Below are 16,538 nucleotides of genomic sequence, written 5' to 3' on the forward strand. Positions count from 1 at the left end.
GAACACAATTACCAATTGAATTCGTTTCCTTCAAAAGAGCCATGTATCCTGGAAGATCCATTCCAGACGTCCAGATGGCAAGACTGGGGAGAGCTGGGAGTTATTCCTATTGAAACCGTTTCCTCCAGAAGGTCTAGAGTTCAAAAGGGAGGCATTTGCCACAAACAATTGGGCCAGTGTGAGACGATGTGGGTGGCACGTTGCCAAGGTCTTGGTGGGACTTTGAGCAGTTACCAATGCAAATAGGAGAGAAGACTTATCCCCAGGGGCAACTGTGGTCACCCAGAAATGGAGCCTTTGGCAACAAGGAGAAAAAACCAGGTCAGCCACTGCACGGGGATTTTCCTAGGGCTGTGGAGTGGCCTCTGGACTTGGAGTCAGGAGGCCTAGCTTCTCAGCTGGGATCTGGGTTTTAGATCAAGGGTTAAGATGATCTAATGCCAACCTTATTTTCCAGAGGCATTTTTCTGAGCCAAGAATTAAATGCAGGGCACATCAAAGGAATTTTCCTGATTTGTGAATTGTTTCTGCCAACTCAAGCTTCAGAATAAAGACCACTTTTCTCATTCTTTGAGATTTATCTATTGAATGCTGGACTATTCTGAAAAACTCTATGCCAGTGAAGCTCATCTCCCAGAGCTGTCCCTGTGCATCCTACTGTCTGACCTCACTGCCTTTGCTCACGCCCTTCCTCCTTTCAGAGAGTCATCTCCTGATATTGCAGCGTCATCCAGACTTTGTTCAATGTTAACTTTTCTTTGAAAGCTTTCTCTGATCACCACAATTTATAGTGATCCAGAGAGAGAGAGAGAGCCAATAAGCATGTAGAAGATATGGAGCACCTATTACTATGTAGTATTGGCTCAGCACTTACCATGTGCCAGGCATCGTGCTAAGCTCTCTACAAGTGTGATCACACTCAGCTCTCACAACAACCCTTAGAAGATCATTCTTAGACAATTTTAAAAATCCCCATTTGTGGGCTGGGTGTGGTGATTCACACCTGTAATCCCAGCACTTTGAGAGACACAAGTGGGAGGATCACTTGAGCCCAGGAGTTTGAGAACAGCCTGGGCAACATAAAGAGACCCCATCTCTCCTAAAAAATAAAAAAAAATTAGCTGGGCATGGTGATGTGTGTCTGCAGTCCCAGCTGCTCTGGAGGCTGAGGCAGGAGGATTGCTTGAGTCCAAGAGACAGAGGCTGCAGTGAGCTGTGATCATACCACTGCACTCTGCCCTGAGTGACAGAGTGAGATCCTGTCTCAAAAAAAAAAATCCCCATTTATGGTGGTCATTAGTGCTGTCATCCTATACTTCTGATTCTCTTTCTTCTGAGTACAACGTAGAATTTCACTTCCTGACCCCTTTGTGGTTGGTGAGGTGGAGCCATGTGAATAGTTCTGGCCAATGCCTTGTGAAATGAAGTAACACATCGTTCCAGATTGGATAATGTTTCATGTTCCTTCCAGAATGGTGACAGGCCAGCAATGTTTGCCATAATGGCTACATCAGCCTTCTTTTTGCTAAGTGAGTAGGATGAGCAGAAACTCCTACTAACCCATGATGAACATGTAGCATGAGCAAGAAATACATTTTGATTGTTTTATGCCACTGAGTTTTTTGGACTTGCTTGTTACTGCTGCATAATCCAGTCTATGCTGACCGATACACAATTTTACAGATAGAGAAATCAAGCTTGCATGGGGAGGCATGGATGACCTTGGCGAAGAGGTAGCTTGAGCCCTTATTGTGCCTTATTGTGTCCAGTGCCCTGACTGGCTGGCTGGCTGTGAAAGGCCTTGAGAGCCTGAAATGACAGGACTTGATGCTGTTATCCCTAAAGCACAAGGGAGAGTTTAAACAGGGGGCAACACAGCCATCCTTGGGCTTTCAGAAGGATCGCTCTGGCAGCTGCTTCTGGCTGAGAGGTCACTCTGTATCTGTCCACCTGGAAAGATCAGCCCTGAACCCAGTTGAAAGCCAAACTCCCAGCATACACAGAGACCCTCAGGGCAGGTCTGCCATGTGCTTACAATTCCCCAGCACCCAGATCGGCCCATCCGAGCCTCCACACAATGGGCAAGGCTGGTTGGAAGAGGGAGCTCCCAGGAGGGCTTCTCCCCATCAAGGCAGGCGTACTGGCTCCGTTGTCCTTTTAAATGACCATAAAACAGCACGGAAATGAATGCCAACTAACAAGGTTAAAGGATCCTTAAAAAACAAATGATGCCATTTTTTCCCCCAACTCGCTGCTGAGTAAAAATTTGTCACTTCAGTAAGCATTTTATTGGTAATTACAGAGTTACTTTATTTGCATATTACAGAGCTGCTAGTGGCCCTAGTGAAAATGCTTAATGTCGCTGAGCATCTTGGAAGGAATTACTCAACCCAGGGAGGGAGAATTCAGTAATTATTTCCTTAAAACTAGAATTTGCTAATAACTTTGCAGTAGATCACTTTGTGCTCCCCAATACAGCAATTAAATAATAGCAATTAAGTGCCAAAGTAACTCAGGCATAGGGCCTATCCCCAAATAGGACCTCTGCTTTATTTCCTTTGAAAGAGGAATAAAGCTACAGTTGGCCCTTTTGACTCCTGAACCACCAGGGAACACCGATTCCTCTTAGAGCCAGTTAGAGAAGGCTGGTGCTAAATGTCATCTCCTCATCTTCAGAGCAGGATCTGGAAACCCAGAGAGACGCCTAGGGTCCATCCTGCAGCGAGGAAAGGCCGGCTCTCCAGAGCAGGATCTGGAAACCCAGAGAGAGGCCTAGGGTCCATCCTGCAGCGAGGAAAGGCCGGCTCTCCAGAGCAGGATCTGGAAACCCAGAGAGACGCCTAGGGTCCATCCTGCAGCGAGGAAAGGCCGGCTCTCCAGAGCAGGATCTGGAAACCCAGAGAGACGCCTAGGGTCCATCCTGCAGCGAGGAAAGGCCGGCTCTCCAGAGCAGGATCTGGAAACCCAGAGAGACGCCTAGGGTCCATCCTGCAGCGAGGAAAGGCCGGCTCTTCAGAGCAGGATCTGGAAACCCAGAGAGAGGCCTAGGGTCCATCCTGCAGCGAGGAAAGGCCGGCTCTCCACTCTAGCAGCTGGGATGGCAGGCACAGAGGTCAGGTAAGAGGATTCTGGCATCAAGCTGGCTGGGCTTGTTGGCTGGGTCCGGCTTATCATCCAGGTGTCTTGGACAGGTTACTCAACCTCTCTAGGTCTCAGTTTTCTCATCAGTAAAGTGGGGGGTCAGCATGTGATCGACTGCACCTGGTGGCTGTGATGATTAAATAACATGACACATGGAAGTTAGAACTTTGAACATAGGAAATGCTCAGTAAGTGTGAGTTGCAGTGTCTGACCCAGAACCCACCACCGCGCTGACAAGGAAAGCCCAGGTCCCTGCCAACTAGGAGAAGGGAAGACATTTGCATGTTGCATGTAACTCCTCTGCCTGCACTGGGGAGGTGTGACAGTAGGAGGGAAGGAGTGGCACTTACCACTTGGGGTTTGATCTGCCCAGGATCAAATCCTGGCTCCACATGCACACACCCAGAGGTAGTGTGACATTGGGCCACTCATACGCTCTCTGAGAGCACCAGTTTCTCACCTGTAAGACAAGAAGTGTGATACCCATCTGAGTGCCAGGGTCGCCAGGTGACCTCTATTTAAGCACATGCTTTAGTTGCTTAGCTTCCTGCCAGGCAGATTTATAAATATATACATATATATGTATATTACAAATATATATATCAGGTGTACAAAGGCCTGTCCTTAAAAAGGATCATTACAATTTCAGACTTGTTCTGTCTTAATTTCTGATTGATACTTAATCAGCAATGGCTTGGAACACTGGCTTTTTGTCTCTCCCTCTGTTAAGTATTTAACAATCTGAAAAACAAACATCGGAGAAGATGGAACCTACAGGGGCCCCTGATCCTTCTGCAGTCCTTGATCCTTCTGTGATAGGGCTGAGTCCACTCTCTATTTTATCTTTCTGCAAGATCTGCTCCAGTGTGGTATTCTATTTAATAATGTAAAATGCTATTTCATGGAGGAGAGAGTACGGAAAGGTATCTTTTAAAAGATTTGCTTTCCCACCTCCATGGCCGGCCTGACCCCTGCCTCCAGGTAGGTTTGTGAGGAATATGCAGTGGCCCTCTGAGAAGGAATATCCAATGAGATAGAAGAGGTCCAGCCCTCAGTACAGGACTTGGCATCGAGCTCCGTAATGGCTAGTCCCCATGTGCAGCTTGGCCTTGCCTGGTATTATACCTAGGAAGTTTTTCTCTGTAGCTTAAGGCATTGGTCCAGAGTCATATTTCTTCCCAGCCTCGATGCTGATCTCACTGTTATTGATCATTTACATTTTGGCATGGCCTTTTCTGGGACCATGCTTCAGAGACGTCTTGTGTCTCAGGGCCAGGAGAGGGGAAGAAGTGCATCAGGTTCTAGCATTAGCGGATGTAAACAGAGAGAGAATGCTACCTTTGACGCCCCTCCTAGGAACTTTGGCCCCTATTAGTTGCTGAGGGTGGAGTGGCCTGGGGTCTTGGGGGCACTGCCCTGTGTGTTAGCAGTGGTAATTTTAAAGGTGGCCCTCTCTGACTAGTGTCCAGCCGATGGGGATTAGGCTGGCCTTTGCTTTTTGCCAACTTTAGAGGCCTCTGCAGGCAGCAGGCTGGACAGCTCTGGAACTGGGCTGTTTCTGCTTTATGGATACTCCTCTCTTTGGTGAAATTCAGCCTTCCATGGCTATACAAAAGATGAATTCCACATCCACGTAGTGGCTCTGCCAGCTTCCAAAGTAAGCTCTTCGGGTCAGACTCTCACCAGACCAAATGATGCCTGGTCCCTGGGCCTCCCCCTGTGACTTGGCTTTTGGGGTATAGCTTGATCACTGGCTCCTGGACCCATCCTGGTTTATTAATGCCTCCCCTAAACATAGCACCAATCTTCATTTCGCCTGTGCTAGCACTTCAAATGTATTGGTGTGGAAGCCAGCTGGAACTGACCAGATGAGCTCATCTACCATTGCCCAGCCAGGAGTTTGAAAGGAGAGAGGATTGCTGATTAAAGCGGAACGTGTGTGGGAGGTAGGGAGGAGGAGAGGCTTGGGAAGGACTAGGCAGGGTTCATCAGGGACTCCAAGGAGGCTGGCTCTCTGCTACAACCAGAGCATCCAGCGCATCCCAGAGGATCTTGCAGGTGCTTAGAGCAGGGGCTCTTGGGAAATGCAAAAAAGGCCTGGACAATAAGTATAAACCACATAGAAACGGCTTTGGGAGTGCTGGGTGCAATAGCTCTGTGATCCCAATACTCTGGGAGGCCAAGGCTGGAGGATTGCTTGAAGCCAGGAGTTTGAGACCAGCCTGGGCCATGGAGTGAGACCCCATCTCAATCAACCAATCAATCAATCAATCAGGTGTGGTGGTGCACACCTGTAGTCCCAGCTGCTTGGGAGGCTGAGGCAAAAGGATCACTTGAGCCCAGGAGGTTGAAGTTGCAGTGAGCTGTGATTGTGTCACTGCACTCCAGCCTGGGCAACGGAGTGAGACCCTGTCTCAACATAAAAAGAAATGTCTTTGTCTTTGTCTTTGTGGGAATAAAATAATGCAGACCCCAGTCCTCCCCTTATGAGATGGCCATAGACAACTCAGCAGCTGACACCTGCCAATGCTAACTGCCTTCATTCTGCCCACTTGCCAATGCTAACTGCCCCTCAGTGAAGACCACCTCTTCTTCAGGGCTGCCGACGTTTGCAGCATGTGTTGTTGGCACATCCATTTGACAATTCTGGGCTGCGACAGTCTCTCATTTCTGACTTAACCTCTCACTCCTCTCTTCCATGGTCATTTAACTTTTTGCCTTCAGTGTTCAGTGAGTGGAGGCTTTGAAGGCTGGGACCAGGTTTTACAGCTTCTGGGGTCCCTCCAGGGCCTGTGCAGAGTGAGGGCCAATCAGTGTTTGCAGCTCTCGTTTGCTGTGGGCAGCAGGGGCTGGAGGCTGTAAAGCTGCTCACATGGAGGGAGGGCAAAGGCTCGGGGGTATGGAAGACATATTTCCAGCCAGGAAATCTGGAACCCTCGGGATGGAGCCCATCCCGGAATAGAAGACACATGGATTAAAAGTCTGACCTCAGATGGAAATTTCTCGTCCCCAGCCTGTGACTCTCTTTTCAGTTCCTAATGGAAGCCTCTACAACCTGGCTTGCTTCCACACAGCTTGTCCCAGCCCTGCAAACTCTGCCCAGCTGGCGTTCAAGCCCAAAGACAGTGGTGTGCTGGTAAATGTTTAACAACGGGCTCTCTGGGAGAAAAGACTGACTTGTATCCTGATTGGTAGCATTTGCCAATTTTTTGTGGTACTCATCATCTCATCATGGCTGATCCTAAGCTACTCAAGTGAACCTACTGAACACAGAGTTGGGAAGAGATGCAGAGGAGCAGCTTTCTTGGAGAGGTGGGAGCTGGCTCTAGCACATCACTGCCCGGTGACCTCTTAGTGCCACCCCCTTCTGATGTCCTCACAGTACTTATCCCCTTTCCTGGCCTTCTTAGGCTGCGAGGATCTCCTGGTTCTCCTTCTCACCATCTGCCCTTTGCTTCTCCATGAATCACTCCACCACCTGCCCTGCAGAGCAGCATTCTCAGTCCTGACTATGTGTTTGGCTCCCATAGGGAGCATTTAAAGCTGCCCATATTGGCTAAACGCGGTGGCTCGTGCCTGGAATTCCAGTACTTTGGGAGGCCAAGGTGGGAGGATCGCTTAAGCCTGGAGACCAACTGGAGTCCCAAGACCTTGTCTTTATAAAAATTTTTAAAAAGCTGGGTGTGGTGATGAGCCTGGGCATTTGAGGCTGCAGTGAACTAAGATAAAGCCACTGCACTCCAGCCTGGGCAACGGAGTGAGACTCTGTTGCTAAATAAATAAATAAAACTCCTGACTCCCAGGTCTTACCTCAGAGCAGTTAGATCAGGATCTCGGGGTGTGGCATCAGGCAGCAGAAGTTTTTGAGGCTCTCCAGGTAATTCCAATGTGCAGCTAACTATGAGAACTGCTGATTTTAAAAATTCCAATGCTGGTTCTTTCTTCCCATCCCAGACAAATCAGATTCCCCAGGAATGGTCCTTGGTTCACTGTATGACTTCAGAGCTCTCCAGATGAAGCCATGTGTAGCCACCATTGAGGCTCACTATCTCTGAGGCCCCGGGCCCTGTCCTCAGCCCTTTCCTAAGCGCTCGCCATTCTCCCCAGGTGGCCTCATCTCCCTTAATGTCCTCCTATAATGTCTCCGATAATGTCCTCATCTCCCATAATGTGTAATGTCCTAGAGATTTGTCTTTTCAAATCTCCATGTCCAGCCCTGTTCTCTCGCCTGAATTCTTCCTGCCTTGCCATATCCACCTGGGACACCCCAGACGCCTCAACTCAACACATTCACCACCTAACTCAGCCTCTTGTCCATTCCTTGTACCTCTTCCTTTCTCACCACTTGCCCTGGCTTACCCCTGGAGAAGTCTGGAGTTCATGGCTCTTTCCATTCCTACTCCAGCTACCCCAGCAGCTCTAGCCTGGGCTTTTTGGAAGTCATCTTCTGGACTCCAGCTCCCTGCACTACTAGCGACCTTACTAAATCACTCCTCCCCACAACCACATGCCTTGGCTTCCCTTGGCCTGCAGGGAATACACATGTGGGACTCCACAGTGTCTCTCTTGCCTCCTGGCTTCATGTTGATCACATCCCAGCCTCACTGAACTGCTCAGTGCTCCCTTACAAGGCCCGGCACCATCCTGCCTATCCCCTTTGTTCCCACTGTCCACTGGCCTTTCTCCCTTCTCCACCCATGGACACCCTCTTTATCCTGCAAATGCCCAGCTCAAGTGGCAGCTTGTATTAGTCTGTTTTCAAGCTGCTGATAAAGACATACCGAGGCTGGGTGATTTATAAAGAAAAAAGAGGCTTAATGGACTCACAGTTCCACGTGGCTGGGGAGGCTTCACAATCATGGTGGAAGGCGAAAGGCACATCTTACACGGCAGCAGACAAGAGAGAGAATAAGAGCCAAGTGAAAGGGGTTTCCCCTTATAAAACCATCAGAACTCTTGTGGACTTATTCACTATCATGAGAACAGTATGGGGGAAACTGCCCCATGATTCAATTATCTTCCACCAGGTCCTCCTGCAACACATGGGAATTATGGGAGCTACAATTCAAGATGAGATGTGGGTGGAGACATAGCCAAACCATATCATATCTCTTCCGTGAAGACTCCTTGACCCCATCCACAGAATTAATTACGCCCATGCTGGAGCCTTGCTCCTGTTGTGCACGGTCTATTATGGGCCAGTCCTCTTTGGATGATCTCAGTCAGCCCTCTAGTTCTGTTTCTGCCTCTCTTCTCTATGCTCTGTGGAGGTAGGGACCTTTTTTGATCATCTTTATAATCTCCCAGTGTTTAATTGATCAGTTAGCAGATAAGGGATGCCTGCTACATGTTGTGATAAGAGTAGATTTAAATTTAATTAATTAATAATTGTTTATGTCTTTTTTTTTTTTTTTTGAGACAGGGTCTCACTCTGCCACCCAGGCTGGAGTGCAGTGGTGTGATCATAGCTCACTGCAGCTTCGACCACCCAGGCTCAAGTGATCCTCCCACCTCGGCCTCCCAAAGTGCTGGGATTATAGGTGTGAGCCACTGTGCCCAGCCTAATGAATAAACTAATCAGCAGGTATGATGGGTTGAGCTTTGTCCTCTAAACATTCAAGCGTTGGAGCCCTAACCCTCAGTATCTTAACATGTGACCTTTTTCAGATACAGTGTCTTTTCAGAGGTAATCAAGTTAAAATGAGGTCCTTAGAGTGAATCCTAAATGTATGTGCTGGTGCCCTTATAAAAAAGGAGAAAGGTGGACCTAGACACAGAGGGAGAACATCATGTGAAGACAATGGCAGAGATTGAGGTGATGCTTCTACAAGGCAACAAATGCCAAAGATTGCCCGCAAACCCCCAGAAGTGAGGGCAGAGGCAAGAAACAGGTTCTCCTTCTCAGCTTCAGAAGGAACCAACCCTGCTGACATCTTGATCTCAGACCTCTGATGAAGTCTGTGGTACCAATGTCCCCATTTTGTATATTTGAAAACTGAGGCTCAGAGAGGTTTGGATGACGTTAGTAAATGGTAGAGCTGGATTTCAGTGCAGGCCAGCCTGGTGCCAAGGCCTGTGCTCCTGATCAGCACGTAAAGCTCGTCCCCTCTCCCTCCAAGGTCACTGAGCCCCACCAGGGTCCAGGCACTAAAGATACTGAGAGAAGCAAAATACAGCTCCTGTCTTCACTGAGCTGCTGGTTAAAAGGAAAACAGCCTCTGAGACCAGTGGCCACCATGTGAAGACTTCTGGCCTCCAGAACTTCGAGAGAATACATTTCTGTTATTGAAGCAACTCAGTTTGTGGTACTTTATTATGGCAACCCTAGCAGATTCAGACAGCAGGTAAATAGTATGTCCTAGAACTTTGATTCAAAACTGAGTTCAAAATCATTTTTACTCTACAAATGTTTATTGCATCCTTACTATTGGCAAGGCAATGTTGTGGGCCTGGGAGGCAGAGCAGTAAACAAAAGGGCCAAGGCCTCTTCTGTCCTATGGCTTCTTTTACAGGGGGAAGACAGGCAATAAAAACACAAACAAGGACAGAGCTAATGATGACAGTTGCAAGGGCTCCTGGGACATGGCCCCTTCTTTCTCTTCTCTTTCTCTTATTTGGGCCATGAAAACTCATTGATAAATGTTCCATCTCTGAGTTTTGCTTGTGTGGGGTCCTTAAGAACAAAATGAGATACTTTTTTTTTTTTTTTTTTTTTGAGACAGGGTTTTGCTCTGTCACACAGGCTGGAGTGCAGTGGTGCGATCATGACTCACAGCAGCCTCTATCTCCCAGGCTTAAGCAATGCTCCTACCTCAGCCTCCAGAGTAGCTGGGACTACAGACACATGCCACTATGCTTGGCTAATTTTAATTTTTGTTTATTTTGTAGAGATGGGGTCTCACTATGTTGCCTAGGCTGATCTCAAACTCCTGGCTTCAAGTGATCTTCCTGCTTCAGCCTCCCAAAGTGCTGGGATTATAGGCCTGAGCCACTGTGCCCAGACAAAATAGAAATTTTTAATAATCAAAGTGCCTTTTGTTTTCTTCTTCCCACTCCCGTGGTTAAAAAAAATGGCTAACAAAACAAATGAAACAAATTTTTTTTTTCTTTTTGAGACAGGGTCTTGCTCTGTCACCCAGGCTGGAGTACAGTGGTGCGATCTTGGCTCACTGCAACCTCTACCTTCTGAGTTGAAGTGATTCTCCTGCCTCGGCCTCCCCAGTAGTTGGGATTACAGGCACCACCCACCATGCTCAGCTAATTTTTTGTATTTTTAGTAGAGACGGGGTTTCACCATGTTGGCCAGGCTGGTCTCAAACTCCTGACCTCAAGTGATCTGCTCGCCTCAGCCTCCCAAAGTGTTGGGAATACAGGTGTAAGCCACCACACCTGGCTTCTTTTTATTCTTTATTTAAAAAAAAAAAAAAAAACACTCAAACTACTCACGTGGGGCTGTGCTCTGCAGGATGGGTGATGAGGGTGACTGTCCCAGTGTCAGCATGTTGTTATGGGCTCGCTGTTTCATGTGGAAATGGACTAATAGCCCTGCAGAGCTCAGCCAATATGGGAGCGGGCATGTCACTTAGGCTGGCTGGAGCATGAAGCCAAAATCTTCCCACAGTGCCGGGGAGCCCTTCCCGAAGACAAGCTTTAACCATGGCCCAGCTGCCTAAGGAGGCAGGGCAGGCAGGGTGTGAGCCTCTGGATAATTTCTTTTCTGGGTGAAGAATCACAAAGACTGTAATTTGAGAATCTATAGAATCGTAACACCTCATTTAGCCAGTGCCATTAGGGAGTGAGGAGTTCCACATAAGTGAGTTTTCCAGATAATTGAACTTCAGTCCCTTAAGAGCCAAAGCTTAAAAGAAATTAACCAGTTTGACAGAAGGCTTTCTAAAGTATGTTCCTCTGCTTTCAGACCCTGGGTACCCAGAAGAGGTTTGGCCCCTTCCCAGCAACTATGATGGGACCCTCAACATCTGCTTCTGGGTTGGATGGGTCACAGTTTCTTCTAGGGTGGTGGTTCTCAGCCCACCTTAGCTGCGTGTTCAAATCTTTTGAAGAACTTTAAAAAAAAAGTCCGGATGCCCCTGCCAACCTTAGGTCATTTCGTTTAGAATCTCCAGAAGGCAGAACCAGGTATAGGTATTTATGAAAGCTTCCCAGATGATTCCAATATGTAGACATATCTGAGAACTGCTGCTCTAGGGTGCATTGAGTTTCCCCCAGTAATAAAAAGTAACATCGTCTCAGCAACCATCGTGCAAGTGACTGCTCCTGAGTCAGATCCTCGGCTGGTGGCCCACCTGCCTCATCTTCAATTCCTGCCACTATCTGGTGGTTTTAACCCTGCTTTTCAGATGGGAAAGCTGAGCTTCAGAGTGGCAGGAACTTGCCCACTTCACTTAGCTAGACAGCAGCAGAGTCACGGTGTCCAGCCCGTTTCATCCCAATGTCCTCCTAGGTAGGACAGCCCTAGCTGGCTCTCTGTTTGGAGCATTCTTCTCCAACTTGCTTTGGTTTTCCTGTTCCCTTCTTCACAGTTGGCTTCCAGCAGCACCTTCCCCTTGTTGCCTACATACCTTTCTCTAACCCTGCCATGCCATTCTGGCATCTGCCCAGCCTGTTCTAGCATCAATTTCTTCATCTGTGAAATGGGGATGGCACCACCCACTGCGCAAGGCTTAAACAGGGCATGTAAAACACCTAGCCCAAGTGATCACCCTGGAGGTGGTGGCTTGTCCTCCCAGATCAAATCCTCCTCCAAACCCATGAGGAACTCTCTAAGTCAACCCCACCTCCGCCTGCTGCTCCTCTACCTCTGATTTGAATCTGCCTGGCACTGGGAATCTGGGTCACTCATCTTGCTGGGACTATGTGCAAACTAAGAGTAAATAGGCTCCAAGTAAAGGCCTGAAAGATGGCCCTTTCTGTGAGAAATGCATGTGAGCCTAGTGCATCATCTTTGGCAATTTGTCTTCACTGCATAGGACCCACGAGATGGCTGTGTAAATAAATCAGCTCACTTCTCAGCCTTTTGTATGCTCCTTGAGGGATCCTGAGGCACCGGGCACGCTGACGGAGCTTCATCATTATTTGCTGGCTGTCTATTTTGGAGATCGCCCCTGGTTGGTCACCCCATGATGTATAAGGAGGATGCAGTCCCCTCTAAAGTCAGCTCCTGCTGCTGCTCTGTCCTTACCTCCCCCATCTCTTCCCTCTCTGGCCAAATGCGGCTTCTCAGGAGCCTCTGAACTGGTCCCGAACATCCTCACCTTGATGCTTTTGTGTCAGCTTCCCCCATGCTCCCTCCTCTGTAAGCCCTGCCCTGCTTCCTTTCAGCAAACACTTCTTAAGAGCTTTTGTAGACAAGGAAGGTCAGTGGACCAAGCTCTGAGAGGGAAAGACAAGCCTTACCAGGACCCTTTCCTCAAAGAGCTTCTACCACAGTCCTGGCCTTTGGGTAAGGAGTCCAGTCTGTTCCATTATAGCATCGATTTCTTCATCTGTGAAATGGGGATGGGACCACCCACCTCATGAGGCTTAAAGTAAAGAGGGTGTGTAAAATACCTGGCCCAAATGATCACCCAGGACGTGGAGGCTCATCCTCCTAGAGACCAGACCAAACCCTCCTAGAAACCCACGGAGATCTCTATCAAGTCAACCCTGCCTCCCCTTCTGACTTCCTCTACCTCTGCTGTTGGGCTAAGACAGCTCCTATGAGATCAGTGAGGCTCAAATAAATGTCATTCCTCCCTGCCCAGCTCTTGGCAGGACGAGAAGTTTACATACTCCCTGGGTGGAGAGGTGGGGGTGGGTGCCAGAGCAGAGGAGGGGCTGGAAGAAGCACTGAGTTCCAGTATTTCTGTAGCTAGGTCTTCAGGAGATGACTCTTCACACCAGCCTTTGGTCCCAGCTCTCTGTGCCCTGGGCTCACCTGGACATACCTCTGCATGCCTTCGTCTGCTCTTCCCAGCCAGAGGTGGACTCTGTGAGAGGGAGCTCCCTCTTCCACCTCCAGTGGCTCCTGTAGGCCCAGCCCAAGAGCAGAGGGCCACTGTGTTCCCCCACTAGAGTCTGATTCTTTCGCCCACATTACCTCCAGCCTCTCTGAATACAGGCCTTGAGAGACCTGAGCATGTATGGGCTTCCGAATGCAAACAAGGAGTGAAGTATTTCAAAACCTGGTATTTCACCAGAAACGGCCCTTCAGAGGGGCCCAAAATACACAGCTCGGTGTTTGCACTTCAAAGAGTGGGAGGCCCAGTCAAGGCTCCAGGCAGCCAGGTCTTCCCTGTGTCAACAAGGGGAAGGAAAGCAGCTTGGCCCTGTCTGGGGCATCCTGAGAAAGGGGTTTTCCGACTGCAGCTGGAGAAGAAGGCAGGGCAGGGAAGGGCTGCCAATCCCCGGGGTGCTTCCTGCAGACGGCGTGGAGACCCAGGGGCTTTCTTGTGAGCTCACAGAGGAACCTTTTGGGGAATTCCCCAATGATAATGACAATAGTTCCCGGTTACTGCCTGTGATATGCTAAGCTCTTTCCATGGTTTTTCCCATTCATCCTGATGAGGCCGGCAGTACCAATCTTCCCATTTTGTAGATTTGAAAACTGAGGCTCAGAGAGGTTTGGATGACATGTAGGTTAATGGCAGAACTGGATTTCAGTGCAGGCCAGCCTGCTGCCAAGGCCTGTGCTCCTGATCAGCATGTAAAGCTCATCCCCTCTCCCTCTAAGGTCACTGAGCCCCATCAGGGTCTAGGCGCTGAAGATACTGAGAGAAACAAAGTACAACCCCTGTCTTCACTGAGCTGCCAGTTAAAAGGAGAACAGCCTCGGAGACCAGTGGCCACCATGTGAAAGTGAAAGTGCTTTGTCAGAGGCTTTCTGCACAGTCGTGGGAGTGGGAAAAGGAAGCACTTGCCTCTTCAGGGGCCCTATGGAAGAGGGGGCCAGCAAGCTAAATCTGGAGAGAAGAGATAGCATTTGCCAGGTGGGCAGAAGGGACAGCACCTGTGGCCAGCCAGACCCTGCAAGCTGTGTTTGTTGTGGTCACTGAGTGGGCCTGAGTGCCGCAAAGTGAACCACTCACTCTGAGGTCTAGGTGGGGCTGTGGAACTTGGAGGATTTTAAGGAGCAGGGAGAATGAGCTAGGCACTCTCAAAGGCTCAGGTAGATGTGGAGGGGGCATGGAGCAGACACAGATTAGCCTGTCCTGACCTCTCTTAGCACATCAGACCCCAAGAGGACCCCGGTGACAATTTCTCAAGACCTCATGACAGCAGTGTGGGTAATGATGACACAGTGGTGGTGTCTCAAATGCACCCAAAACTTATCAGTGTCACTGTTTTTGACAGATCCATCCTTAGCCCAGGCCCAAGATGCAGGCATTTTCACTCCCATGGGACCCACGAGAAGAGTGGAGTGGTTCCACATCAGGAGAATGGGACGCTTTGCGGTGTGAGCCGGGGGAGGCCCTTTTGCTTCCCTCTATGGAGCTCAATTTTTTCAGCAGAAAATGAAGTGGACAGGATGATCCCTGAATTCTGGCTTGAACAAAAGCTCCCGCGTGGCGCTGAAGGTGGAGGTGGTTCGGCTCAAGGAATCTACCCTGTGAGCATGAGGAGTTGAGACAAGCCTGGGCTAGGAGAAGGACACCAGCCCATGACCCAGGCTAAGCTCTGTCATGGGCAGGATGTATAACCACCACAAGTCATTTCACTGCTATAAAATAGAGATAATAATCCCTCTCCTGTTCACTTATGGGCTTACTGTGAACATCAAATGAAATAACAAGCACAGAAGTGTTTAAATTGTAAGGTATGGTGTCAAGTTGAATCATCTTCTGGTTCTTGAACCACAGGGACCATTTAACCCAATTTCCTCATATTCCAGAAGAGGAAACAGAAGTTCAGAGTGGCTGTGACTCGTCCAGTGTTCTCTGTGGCAGAACTGAGACCAGCTCCTAGATGCGATCTCTTCTCTTTAACCACCGCTGTGGCTGCTATGATTCAGAGACCTGACAACATTTTGTCATAGAAAAAAATTCAACCACCTCCCCGCCGCCACCCCCCACCCTGCTGACCCTTGGCATGGAGTATCTCTCTGCCTTCAAAAGAAAAGAAGAAACAAATTCCAAACCCCAAACCCCACTAACTGCAGAGCAGCTGCTTCTCAGGGAAAGCGGCCACCCGGAATGTAACGCGGCAGAAACCGGTCTCACTGCCTGCCACCAAGCAAACGTGGCCTGTTCTGATGGCTCAGTGGCCAATGTCTTCCTGTCACCAAGCTCCTCCAAATCGCGGGGGAGATTGTTTTGACATTTGATTAGCCACAGAGTGTAACTTGTGAGTGCTTGAGCAAGCCGACTCTCAAGCAATGGCATCGCTGAGTGCTTTAGCCTGTTAGAGATACCATGTATCAGGGAAAGCGATGGCGGGCAGGGCTCCAAGAGGGAAGATAAGTGGGCTGTTGGGAGAAATTAATACGAAGAAAGGAAGCGGCGAATGAAGTCAAACGAAAACAGGGTCCTGTGATATCCATGACTCATAAATTTCATTGATACCCAGAATGTGAGTTCCCTGCTCTCCCTCGAGTTAGTAAACTGCTTGTCCTCAGGGTGACCCTGCGGGAAGATTCAGGGGCAGGAAGGAGGTGGGAGGAACAGGCTGGAAAGCCCGCATAACTTTTAGGTGGAGCTTGCACAAAATGCTTTCTCTCCTGCAGGGAAGAGCCTATGAAGATGGCCCTGAGAACAGATGAGTGCCTGCCTAGGGCGTGATTCAAGGGGGAAGAGGTCACCAAAGGAAGGCAGGAAGGTGATAATTGTGGGGGTGGGAATGGAGATTGGAGGGACCCAAGACAGAAGTCACAACTGAATCCTTATTTCTTTTTTTTTTTTTTTGAGATGGAGTCTCTCTCTGTCTCCCAGGCTGGAGTGCAGTGACGCGATCTCGGCTCACTGCAAGCTCTGCCTCCAGGGTTCACGCCATTCTCCTGCCTCAGCGTCTCCGAGTAGCTGGGATTACAGGCGCCTGCCACTACGCCCGGCTAATTTTTTGTGTTTCTAGTAGAGACGAGGTTTCACCGTGTTAGCCAGGATGGTCTCAATCTCCTGATCTCGTGATCCGCCCACCTTGGCCTCCCAAAGTGCTGGGATCACAAGCATGAGCCACCGCGCCCGGCCTGAATCCTTATTTCTTAGCAAGGTTGTTCAGGCCACCCTACTCCAAACTATTTATTGCCATGAGTCCCTTCATTATCTTTAACCACCATAAACCCCCTAATGTGAAAGACTGAGTCTGCCAAATGAATTAGGTTTTGCCGACAGCTCAGACCGTGGAGTTCCGTAAGCCTGCGGTGAGAGCTAAGTCTAATCTATGGGGGGTTCTCAGTAGGATGT

At 49.1% G+C, this 16,538-nt stretch overlaps 1 long non-coding RNA gene across 1 annotated transcript, besides 3 other annotated features; it reads right to left on the reverse strand.

Annotated features, from left to right (window-relative positions):
* Positions 1 to 2,284: 2,284 nt before the first annotated feature.
* LOC107984734 (uncharacterized) lies at positions 2,285 to 3,595 on the reverse strand. The gene is made up of 2 exons (XR_001751739.2): positions 3,492 to 3,595; positions 2,285 to 3,268 (listed from the first exon to the last, which is right to left on the reverse strand). It is a non-coding gene; the product is annotated as an uncharacterized LOC107984734 (long non-coding RNA).
* Positions 12,502 to 13,007: an enhancer, noted in NCBI's record as "H3K27ac hESC enhancer chr15:70432131-70432636 (GRCh37/hg19 assembly coordinates)". NCBI's record gives its function as "activates a minimal SCP1, AML or CMV promoter by ChIP-STARR-seq in primed H9 embryonic stem cells {active_cell/tissue: H9 hESC(primed)}" and the evidence as "EXISTENCE:reporter gene assay evidence [ECO:0000049][PMID:30033119]".
* Positions 13,512 to 14,015: an enhancer, noted in NCBI's record as "OCT4-NANOG-H3K27ac hESC enhancer chr15:70433141-70433644 (GRCh37/hg19 assembly coordinates)". NCBI's record gives its function as "activates a minimal SCP1, AML or CMV promoter by ChIP-STARR-seq in primed H9 embryonic stem cells {active_cell/tissue: H9 hESC(primed)}" and the evidence as "EXISTENCE:reporter gene assay evidence [ECO:0000049][PMID:30033119]".
* Positions 13,783 to 13,882: an enhancer, noted in NCBI's record as "active region_9673". NCBI's record gives its function as "activates an Ori minimal core promoter by ATAC-STARR-seq in GM12878 lymphoblastoid cells {active_cell/tissue: GM12878}" and the evidence as "EXISTENCE:reporter gene assay evidence [ECO:0000049][PMID:35858748]".

This window comes from Homo sapiens, chromosome 15 (genome assembly GCF_000001405.40).
Source record: "Homo sapiens chromosome 15, GRCh38.p14 Primary Assembly".
NCBI classification, from domain to species: Eukaryota; Metazoa; Chordata; class Mammalia; order Primates; family Hominidae; genus Homo; species Homo sapiens.